The 12,203-nt window shown below is 42.6% G+C and overlaps 1 long non-coding RNA gene across 1 annotated transcript in view; it reads left to right on the top strand.

Annotated features, from left to right (window-relative positions):
* The window catches only part of LOC107985871 (uncharacterized), a 62,078-nt gene that overhangs the window by 43,675 nt on the left and 6,200 nt on the right, over positions 1 to 12,203 (top strand). The window contains exon 3 of the long non-coding RNA XR_007086290.1: positions 10,484 to 10,556. This is a non-coding gene — a long non-coding RNA (uncharacterized LOC107985871). The remainder of the gene's footprint in view (positions 1 to 10,483; positions 10,557 to 12,203) is intronic.

Raw genomic sequence — 12,203 nt, 5'->3', positions numbered from 1 at the left:
TAGTGATGTGCTCTATTGGTCCATTCTTACGTTGCCATAAAGAACTGGGTAATTTATAAAGAAAAGATGGTTAGTCAGCTCATGGTTCCTGTGGGCTGTACAGGCTTCTGCTTCTGGGGGAGGCCTCAGGAAACTTACAATCGTGGCACAAGGTGAAGGGGAAACAGGCCATTAGCAGCAGGAGAGGGGCAAAGGAGATGCTACACACTTTCAAACAAGCAGATTTCCTAAGAAATTGGGGGAATGGCGCTAAACCATTAAAAACCACCCCTGTGATCCAATCACCTCCCACCAAACCCTCCCTCCAGCACTCGGGATCACAGTTCAACATGAGATTTGGGTAGGGACACAAAGCCCCACCATACCATTCCACCCTTGGCCCCTCCCAAATCTCATATCCTCTCACATTGTAAAATATAACCATCCCTTCTCAACAGTCCCCCAAAGTCTTAACTCATTCCAGAATTAACTCAAAAGTCCAAGTCCAAAGTCTAATCGGAGACAAGGCAAGTCCCTTCCACCTATGAGCCTGTAAAATCAAAAACAAGTTAGCTACTTCCAAGATACAATGGGAGTACAGGCATTGGGTAAATACTCCATTTCCAGAAAGGAGAACTCAGCCACAACACAGGGGCTACAGGCCCCATGCAAGTCCGAAACCCAGCAGGACGGTCATTAAATCTTAAAGCTCCAAAATAATCTTGACTCTGTGTCTCACATCCAGGCCATGCTGATGGAGGGGGTGGGCTTCCAAGGCCTTGGGCAGCTCTGCAGGGTACATCCCCTGTGGCTGCTTTCATGGACTGATGTGAGTGCCTGTGGATTTTCCAGGTACACAGTGCAAGCTGGGGTCTGGAGGAGGATGACCTTCTTTTCAGAGCTCCACTAGGCAGTGCCCCAGTGGGGACTCTGTGTGGGGGCTCCAACCCCACATTTCCCCTTTGCACTGCCCTACTAGATATTCTCCATGAAGGCTCTGCCCCTGCAGGAGACTCCCGCCTGGACATCCAGGCCTTTCCATACATCCTCTGAAATCTAGGTGGAGGTTCCCAAGCCTCAACTCTCATCCTCTTTGTACTTGCAGGCTTAACACCACATGGAAGCCACCAAGGCTTGTGGCTTGCACTCTCTGGAGCAGCAGTCTGAGAAGTATCTGGGGCCCTTTTGGCCACAGCTGTAGCTGGAGCAAGTGGGATGCAGGGTGCCATGCCCCAAGGCTGCACAAAGCAGCAGGGCCCTGGGCCTGGCCCCATGAAACCATTTTTCCCTCCTAGGCCTCCAGGCCTGTGATGGGAGGGGCTGCCCCAAAGGTCTCTGGAATGCCTCATAGGCATTTTCCCCATTGTCTTGACTGCTAATATTTGGCTCCTCTTTACTTATGCAAATTTCTGTATTGGGCTTGAATTTCTCCCCAGAAAATGGGTTTTTCTTTTCTACCACATGGCTAGGCTGCAAATTTTCCTATCTATCTTTTATGCTTTGCCTCCCTTTTCAGGTCATTTCTTTGTTTATGCAGATGAGTTAGGCTTTTGGAAGCAGCCAGGCCACATCTTGAGCACTTTGATGCTTAGAAATTTCTTCTGCCAGATACCCTAAATCATCTCTCAAGGTCAAAGTTCAACAGATCCCTAGAGCAGGAGCACAATGCCACCAGTCTCTTTGCTAAAGCATAGCAAGAGTGACCTTTACTCCAGTTCTCAATAAGTTCCTCATCTCCATCTGAGACCTCATCAGCCTGGCCATCTCTGCCCATATCACTATGAGCATTTTGGTCAAAACCATTAAACAAGTCTCTAGGAAATTCCAAACATTTCCTCATCTTCCTGTCTTCTTCTGAGCTTTCCAAACTGTTCCACCCTCTGCCCATTATCCAGTTCCAAAGCTGCTTCCACATTTTCAGGTATCTTTGTAGTAATGCCTCACTTCTCTGGTACCAATTTTCTTCATTAGTCTGTTCTTGCATTGCTATAAAAACTACCTGAGACTGGGTAATTTATAAAGAAAGATGTTTAATCAGCTCACAGTTCTGTGGGCTGTAAAGGCTTCTGCTTTTGGGGAGGCCTCAGGAAACTTACAATCATGGCAGAAGGTAAAGGAGAAACAGGCACACCTTCACATGGCCAGCAGGAGAAGGGCAGCGGAAGTGCTACATGCTTTCAAACAACCAGATCGCCTGAGAACTCTATCATAAGGCAGCACTGTGGGGATGGTGCTAAACCATTAGAAATCACCCTCATGATCAAATCACCTCTCACCAAGCCCCACGTCCAACACTCAAGATTACAATTTAACACGGGATTTGGGTGGGGACCCAGAGCCAAACCATACTATGCACTAACTCATTTAAGCTGTTGTTATCTTAATCATGGGCTCACTGTAGAATGGGAGTGGTAGGAAGAAACATTAAGTGAGTGGTCATAATGGTGGCTTAGAATTCAAACCCATTCCATGTGACCCCTCACCCATGCTTGGCAAATTAAATCCATGATAATCCAAAGGGTTTCAAAATCGATTTTTTTTAGGTCTAACCGTTTCCTTCCCATTCTTATCATTTCCTCTTCCCTTAAAGCAAATTCCCTTTATTCTTACCACCCACTAGAATGGAGACTTGAAATTAGGTTCTTTCAGCTTGCCAAATGATAAACAGCTCTCTCAAATTAAGCCACATCTCATCCAGAGAGAAGGCAATAAAAATAGTGATTTATGTGGTTGAGAGTACAGTGAGACGTTTTTATAGCATCACAGATGGTTTTCCAAATTGCAGAGCAGCTTTATTTCTTTCTGCATATCTCAGTTTCTCAGTCCACAATTTGAAAATAATAAAGCTGCCCTCTTCCTACTTCTTGGGTGAATTGGTTAAATCATGAAAATCTATAAATAAAAGCACTTTGAATCCTAGAGAGAAGAGTCAAATAATAAAATAATCCCATTTTTCATCCATATGATGAAATTATATAAGGTCCCCCATATAATGGGGGACCTTATATAATGAGAAGGCTAGGCATATTGCTATGTTTGTGGGCAAATGATCTGGCCCAGAGAACACCTGACTCCTAGGAGTGTCAAGCTGGGGAAGAGGACTCAAGTATATACACAGTACCGTTATTTCAGATGTATCTTTGATAGCTCTAAAGTAACTACTGGAAACACCTATAGGGTGGCATGATAAGATAACTGAGATTTACATTTATACTTTACTACTCCCATTGGTTTTAAAAAACAAGACTGCTTGAGTTTGGTTTTCATCATGGCGGCTTCAGTCTTAGCCCAGGCTCTCCACATACTCTCTGTTCCAACTTCGACCCTAGGTGTACATGAGATCCATTCTCAGCACCTCTGGGCCCATTCCCTTCTACCCAAGCCAGGAGTGCTGGGTGCTGAGATTTAACAATCCAGATCAGAAGCGGCACCATGCAGTGTTGAGAACACAGGCCCTGGAGCAAGTCTGCTGCGTGTGAATCCCAACTCGCCTCTCTGACCTGGCATATCTCCTTATCCGTGATATGGGCATGGCACTAACATACCTACTCATAGGACTCTGGGGACAGTTAAACGAGACAGGGTCCATAAAGCACTTAGCTCACTGCCTGGTACAATAAATGGTGACTACTTTTTATAGGCAATTGTGAGAAACATGGTGAATGTGGGCAGGGTAAAATAGTTGGATTGGTGCTTCTTCTGCAGGTGGCATTCAACTCTTTTTGTGTTTGTTTGTATTTATTTTTCTTATAGCAAATTTCCTTTTTTAAACTGTGACCAAACAAATAGAATGATTGCTATGGTTTTACAATTTGCATGGCTGAATGAATATACCTTTGATAGTTTTTTTTATCATGTTTCTAATTGTTAGAAAAAAATTCTTTTTTCCTCTTCTGGGATTTCAGGGCATTACATTGGAAAATAGGTATTAAACTGATATGGGACAGAGGCCATGGCATATATCCTACAAAATCTGTATCTACACTCTTATATTATACTTACTTGCCCATATCTTTGAACTTGGGGCCAATCATAAGATCCTACATTCTAGTTACCAGAAAAAGAACATAGTAATTGAGTATGTAATTGAATATTGTTGGCTGGGAGTGGTGGCTCACGCCTGTAATCCCAGCCCTTTGGGAGGCCAAGGTGGGCGGATTACTTGAGGCCAGGAGTTTGAGACCAGCCTGACTAACATGGTAAAATCCTGTCTCTACTAAAAATTCAAAAAAATTAGTCGGGGGTGTTGGTGTGTGCCTGAAATCCCAGCTACATGGGAGGCCGAGGCAGGAGAATTGCTTGAACCTGGGAGGTGGAGATTTCAGTGAGCCAAGATCGCACGACTGCACTCCAGCCTGGGCAACAGAGCAAGACTCTGTCTCAAAAAAAAAAAAAAAAAAAAAAAAAAAGTTTATGGGTGAGTATTGAGCTAAGTGCATTATCCCATTCAATCCCCAATCTTATGAAGCAAATACTATCATTAGCCCTATTTTACAGATGTGGAAAGTGAGCCTTAGAGAAGTAAGTAATTGCCATAAGTCACACATCTGAGAAATAATGAAGTGAAAATTTGAACCAAAAGCATCTGGATCCAGAGCCTATGTTTTAGGAACTTGCTGTGGCTTTGATGCATCAGAATGTGGGAGCTGCAGGCCTGCGTGGACTAGTCTTGGACTCTTAACTGCTCTGCCATCCCACAGCAGCTGATAGGTTCATATGAAGCCACTGGCAACTGGTGCCAAGTTACCAGTAAGAAAATCAGACATTTTGATCTATCTATCAATTGGAATGTGCATGTCCAGAATAGATCTAGATATTTTTTAAAAAGCATTCAATGCCTAATTTTTAAACAAACTGCACATGCGAAGAAAATGCCCATGCATTTCTTTAAGCAGAAATATAAGTTAGTGAATTTGTTTCTTCTTGATAAAATGGTTAGAATTTGCTTAGAAATTCCTTTTATCATAAAAGTAAAAATTATCAGCTTTAACCTTCTCATTTGTCTCCTACTGCTTCTTTTCTTGTTCTTTATTCTCATCCATCCCCTTCTCTGTCTTTGCCTCTACTCTTCCTCTATTCCTTCATAAGAATCTAAACAACTCCTTTAAACATCAATTCAAATGTTCTTCCCTTGGATAGAGATCACTTCCATCCCCTTCATAACTAGCTGGGCCTAGTACCTTTGGGTTAGCAATTTTGCCAGAGATGTTGGAGAAAAAGGGGGTAGCATTTCCTCTTGAAAATCCAGCCTGCAAGGCATTTACAATCTCATGCTGGTTTCGTAAGGCCCTGCTGTCCCTCCAGAATAGAGGCCCACAGCACTCACTAGGTACCAGGCATGGTGAACTTGCTTGCCCAAGCTCTCTAGTAGGTGGCAGATTTACCCAGGTCTGCCTGACTTTAGAGCCTATTCTTTTAATCATTGTACCTTACTGTCTTTATAGACAAGGTCAGGCTCTCTATGCTTCTGTGAGATAATTTTCCCTAGGAGTGTAAATAGTTACTATAGAGACACTAGATGCCACCTGCTATAGCCCTCAGAAGTGGCATCAGACTATGCCTGGGCTTTCTGTTTTAAGGACAAGGAAGAATGAGTGTGACAGTGAAAGGTTGTATTTGTAAAGGCTGGAAGAGCAGAAATCCCCAAGTGCTAGAGAAAAGAATGTGGACAAGTGTATGGTATCCAATCATAGTATGTTAGAGCTGAGTTGGGCTTTAAAGATGATCTCCTCTAACCCCTTTATTTGCAGTTGAAGACGTTGAGGATCTGAGACATTAAGTGAATTGTCTGAGGACACACAGCCAGTTTCTTAGATGCAGAGCCAAGGATGAATTTTTTTCATTCAGACTAAGCTGTTTTTTGCAGTCCACCTTTACTCTACTTGGGGTTCATTTCTTTTTAAGAAGTCTCAAAGATTAGAAAATTGAGTCATTTTGAGCAATATAATGTCATATTGTACAATTCTGCTGAAAGTAATTTTAATAGCAATGCCGGCAGATCTCCCAAATCCATGGGTTTCAAAATATTTCCGCCTTTTGCTAAGCTAATATATAGAATTTCAAAACCATATTTATACCACATACAATTTCCAAAGAGCTGGGCAATTTCCTATAAAAACTCAGCTGTGCACTGATTGCCAAGTTGGAAAACTCAGGGTTTCCTGGCAACACCCACTTGGGCTCTAGGGAATGCAAGCTTCTCAGCAAACAACCTCTCCTGACTTACGAGCTCCATCGGCAGCCACGACCCGAGTCACAGCGGCCCTTTCTGATGTTCTTGTCTCTGTCGCTTATGTTTCTCAAGAACCTGTAATCTTGCCTTAATCCCTCACCAGCTGAATACCTCCTACATGCTAAACTCCTGGAATGAAAGGTCCACATTTCTCTCATGCTAGGAGTTTGGGACCAGAATTCAGATGAACTCATTGCTAGTACTGGTTCAAAAGCTAATGAGCCCTCTAGATTCCCAGGTCCTTAGTTTCCTCATGGGTAAAATATAGACAATAACTCCTACCTGTTCATCTTTCAGGGCTTTTCCGAAGATTTTCAACATCTGAAATTCACAGGATCATGGAGACGAACTAAACCATCATGGAGACTAACTAAACCAGATGCATCTAGCCCCTCATGTTAGAGTTGAGAAAACAGAAACCCAGGGTTTGGGGACTCCCTTGAAGTCATCAAGTTCCTGTTGATGGCAAAATCAGGACCAAGCTTCTGATCCTCCCAAATATTCCTTCACTTCTCAGTGCTGCCTGTGATGAGAAAGATCAAAGCATGCATACAATTATAAATCATGACACAGAGGCAACATGCAATTATTTAGGTACTAATTAATAGACTGTGTACCAAGTCAGCACTAATGAAATTTTTCATGCCTTGACAGGGTAGTAGCTTGTCAGGAATTTCTGAAGATGAAAAAACTATTCATCTTAGGACAAATCCTTCTCCTTCCAGTAAATACAAGGAAAGGAGGAAGTGTAACCAGGGGTATTTAAGCTCAGCCTCCTCCAGCAGCCATCTGCTGCTGCTTTTTTTTTTTTTTTTAAATGTTATTGAGATGTAATTTACGTACCATAAAATTCACCATGTTAAGGTGTGCAGTAGTATATTCACAAGGTTGTGTAACTATCACTACCCTCTAATTCCAGAACATTCTCATCATCCTGTTGCTTTTTGAATGTCAGTATTGTCAGCTCGAGTACAGCTTCACTCACATGTGGCTCTCAGTTGTATTCTGTAGTGTTCATCTTGACCCACATGATCAGATGCCCCAAGTTCACTCTGTATTTGAAGAGCTCCGTGTCTACTAAAGGTCTGATTCCCTACTGCGGGCCAATAGTAGGAATGAGATGGTCACTAAGCGTCAAAATAAGCACTAGCAATGAGAACCTGAAAAGCAAAACTCAGCCACCAAGGCTAATTTTCAGGGCAAAAAGAGGAGAAAATTTCCTAAGCCAAGAGTGGGTAGAACTGGAAGTGGGAAGTGGGGCTGGTTTAAGGACGGTGGAGGGTTCTCCAAAGTGCCACTCTGTCCTGCCTTAGAGCTCATATGCATGCTGGATCATCCTCCACCCCTATCACATCCCCCATTTTTGCTTCATCTAAGCCCCCTGGGATGCTGGAGCACCCACTGCAGGAGGCGCCCGAACTTCCCTTATCACAGTCCATCTCACCTGTGCACACCGTGATTACCTGCTGACTTGTCTGCATTCCTGAATAGACCGGAAGCTTCAAAAAGGAAGAAACCCTGCCTTTTTGGTTACTTATTCACCCTGCTTCTCAGCATCCTCTGGCACTATCTCAGTAAAGATTTCTTGAACAAGTTATTAATCTGGCCACAAGCCCAAATTTCTTTCTATATCCCTCTAATGCTCAAATTAAAGTTTGAGTGTGAGAATGTACCCGAGCCTCACACAGTTATTTATGGTGGATACACAAAATAATAATAATCCTGGGTCAAAGCTGCTTTCCTGTAGCTTTCACTAAATAGTCTTCATTCTGATCCAAAGACCAAGAGAGAATACATCTTTTCCCTATTCTCTGTGGTACCCCTTTAGGTATGTGACATGAGCTGTCATGTCCTCTGTACCTTTTATTCTCTGAGTTAACCAACTGTACTTCCTTCAACAATTATGCATGACATATGAATTATTTACTCATTTATTCAACAAATATCTTACGGCATGGTCTATGTATAAAGCACTGTGCCAGGGCAGTGGGGGTGAGCAAAGGCATGGCACAGACCCTGCCCTAAAGAAGTCTATGGTCCACCATGGTTGTGCTCTTCCCACTTTCTGGGGTTTCTTGAATTGGTCAATGTCCCTTTCCAGATGTGGTTTCCTGAAGTGGACAATGTATTTCGAAGTAGTCTGACCAACACAGAATTCAGAACTATAACTCATGATCTAGATCCTCTGCTTCCAAAAACTTTTGATTGTTCATGTTATTCTTAGATAAATGCTCAGGGTGTACTAATCGTGTGTGTGTGTGTGTGTGTGTGTGTGTGTGTGTGTGTGATGTAAAGAGACATTTGGCTAACATTTTTGTAAGATGCTTGTTCTTTATGCTTAAACCAAATATGTGGTAGTATTTCTGGTGATCAAATCCTTACACATCCTTATCTTGAGTCCCTCTCCTGCTCCAAAAACCTCTTAGGAATAGGCGGATTGCAATCTTCTTCATATCAAACTGAACTCATAAGAATGGACAAATTCTTTTAAAAAACAACCCAGGATATTTTGCACTGCCGCTAATGGTTCTTTATGATGTTTCTGAAAATAATTGGAAGGGAAGCATGGACATCTGGCATGTGAATGAAGCTGTTTCTAATTAGGAGGGCTGTTTGTCTTCAAAGCAGAGTGAGCACTGGGGTACTCTTGGATGTGCTCTTCTTTGATGATGCTTGCTCAGGGCCTGGCAGCCTCCAACCTTCACCTATTTGAAGCCTGGGGTCCGTGGGTAGGGGGTAGGCCACCTCCTTTTAGCTTCTGCCCTAAATAACTTTGGTCCTTAAATTCCTTCAGGCGTTGGGCTTTTAACTTTGGTGTTTGCTTTGAAGCTAAAAAATGTGATTTTTTGTTGTTGTTGTTATGCTGTTTCCTGGGTACTTTCCATCTGTGCTGTAGACAGTATCACCAGGAGCCAGAAGGTCAGCAGAAGAGAAAGTGCCTCTCATCCGTGACAGCTGGGATAAATGTGGGAGAACTCAGTCAGACTTGGGTGGTCAGGAGACCCAGGAACAACTCCAGAAAAAGCGGAGTGCCCCTGAGAGTCATTCTGTTTTCTACTCCTTTTTTTTTTTTTTTTTTTTTTTTTTTTTTGAGACAGAGTTTTGCTCTTGTCGCCCACGCTGGAGTGCAGTGGCGCGATCTCGGCTCGCTGCAACCTCCGCCTCCTGGGTTCAAGTGATTCTCCTGCCTCACCTCCTGAGTAGCTGGGATTACAGGTGCCCACCACCATGTCCAGGTTATTTTTGTAGTTTCAGTAGAGACGGGGTTTCACCATGTTGTCCAGGCTGGTCTCGAACTCCTGACTTCAGGTGATCCACCCACCTCGGCCTCCCAGACAGAGTGTTGGGATTTCAGGTGTGAGCCACTGCCTTGTTTGCTACTCCTAATATAATTTGTAGAAGGTGTTGTGCTGAGGACACACTGGTCATTTCACTGTTTAATATTTTCTAGTAATTTTTCTTTTAAACAGGTAAATACTTACCTGTTTAATATTTTCTGGTAATTTTATCTTTTTTTTTTTTCTTTTTTGAGACAGAGTCTCACTCTGTCGCCCAGGCTGCAGTGCAGTGGCGCGATCTCGGCTCACTGCAAGCTCCACCTCCCGGGTTCACGCCATTCTCCTGCCTCAGCCTTCCGAGTAGCTGGGACTACAAGCGCCCGCCACCACGCCCGGCTAATTTTTTTTGTGTTTTTAGTAGAGACGGGGTTTCACCGTGTTAGCCAGGATGGTCTCAACCTCCTGACCTCGTGATCCACCCGCCTTGGCCTCCCAAAGTCCTGGAATTACAGGCGTGAGCCACTGCGCACAGCCAACATCTCCTTATTTAGCCAGTATTAGGCACCAAATATGTGCCAGGCACTTTAAACTTTAGAAAGAACAATTCTCATAAGTGTCTTAAAAAGCATCTGTAGTTTCCTGTTCTCTACATGGTTCCCAACGCACATACTGTGGCTCACTAACATTGCCCTGGATATAATGACCCCTCTCTGAGGGCAGTTGAGGTCGGGAACTTTAGAAACCTCCCGAGTGTTGTTTCTTATCCTAGGAATTCGTGGGCATGGAAGACAGGTCTTGAGAAGGCTGTTGCCATGAACTCCCCACTGTATTTCTAGAAATTCCATATAGAACCCTGTGATACCTATAGCTATGTCTGAAAATCAGTGTTCTTAGTGAAAATAGAATTAATCTTAAAAAATGGTTACACGGACATTTTTTTCTGATTGCAATGTTCTCACCAAAGATATTCTTTGTTACATATCCTCAACCAAAGAAATCTGGAAAAAAGAAGCACAAACTAAGAGATTAAAATCATCTACAATTCCATCATGCAGAGGAAACTACAGGTAAAATGTTGCTGTATACATCTCTTAATCTTTCTAGATCTGTTTTGTTAAACAACAGTTTTATAGCCTACTTTTTATGTAACAATATATTATGAACAATATATTTTTCCAGGCCATTGCCTTTTCTTCTGTGGTATAATTGTAATGGCTGCATAGTATTCCATTGTATGTATGTATCATTATTGATTTCACTAACTGCATACTATTAGACTTTCACATTATTCCCATTTTTTTTTCACAAAAATATACTGGGTTAAAAATTATTGTTTCTAACTCTTTATTCCCATTCATTATTTCCTTATAATAATTCCCAGAAGTAGACTTTCTGGGTAAAAAGATAAGCCAAAATTTAAGCCTTTTGAAATGTACATAGAGAAGCCTCGGGTTTTGAGTAGAAAGGTCTTTGTCCCTAGCTCTAACCCAACTGTGTGACCTTGGGCCTAACTACTCCATCTGTTAAATGGGGAGCATGGTCATACGCCCCACTGCATTTCAACAGCTGATTCTGACAAGATACCGCTGACTGTCTGCCCAGCAGCCATTCTTCACTTCATTCCAACAAACCCTGATTTTTTTCAAATATTCACCCCTTCCCCATTGCAGTCTTTGTACTTCCAGGTTAGGCCTAAATTGTCTAAGTATAATCTCATCCCCCTGCCAGTGAGAGGTTCAGGAATAGGCATATGGACCAATTAGGTTTAATAAGATTTATGGGGAAGTTTGCTGGGGCTTCTGGAAAATTCTCCACCTTTAAGAGAGAGCCATAGGAAAAGAGAGTCTCTCCCTCTGGATGTTGTCAAGCTTGGCCCTATTATTGCAATAGCCATGTTATCCCCAGCCTGAGAATTAAACTGAACACAGATGAGGCAGAGCTGAGAATCCCAAGGAAATGGGATTGGAACTGCTGAATTAGGCAAACTTGAAGCTTGCCCTGCCTCTAAATTTCCAGTTATGAGGGCGAATTCTGATGGCGTACACTCTTGGAATCAGTTAACTTTAATTTATAACCGCAGTTCTGATCATCATCTGTTTAATTTTCTTTCTTAATTATAGTAAATGTTTTTTTCTTTCATGGGCTTTCCTTCCAACTTCTTGTATCCTTCGCTTTCCCAATTTTGAAAAAAAAAAAAAAATGATGCCTCAAGGGAATATTTGAGTGAAAAGGATAGGCCTTAAGCCAACAGTTCAGAAATGACTCATTTAAATCTGCAGAACTGAGAGAGCCCAACCCAGGCCTTCCAGTTTGGTCATAGAATCAGAAGATTTTTCAAGTCGGAAGGAACCTTGATGCTCAACAAGTCCTAATCCCATTTTGTAGATGAGGAAACTGAGGTTCAGAAAGATATTATGAAAGTGCCAGACAGCTGGGTACTCCCCAGGCAGCACCTTCACAAGACTTACCTGGTACCCCAATTTGACTCCTGTCATATTTCAGTGGGGGGGATTTAAGCCAAAATATATCACAATTGGTTCTTTGAACCCTTTGTTTCCTGGCAAATCAAAGTTCCTCATTTGTAGTAAGAACTCAAAGAGCAATGTTCCTATCACCACACTGGAAGTCCAGTCTTCTTTTAGACCTCACTAGTGATTTCTTTCTAGAAGTCCCTAGGGAAAGTCCTCACAAATAATCCAGACTTCTCTCTGCAG

This window comes from Homo sapiens, chromosome 2 (genome assembly GCF_000001405.40).
Source record: "Homo sapiens chromosome 2, GRCh38.p14 Primary Assembly".
Lineage (NCBI taxonomy): Eukaryota > Metazoa > Chordata > Mammalia > Primates > Hominidae > Homo > Homo sapiens.
The sequence above is the reverse complement of the archived record's forward strand: the minus strand, read 5'-3'. Positions and strand labels throughout refer to the sequence as shown.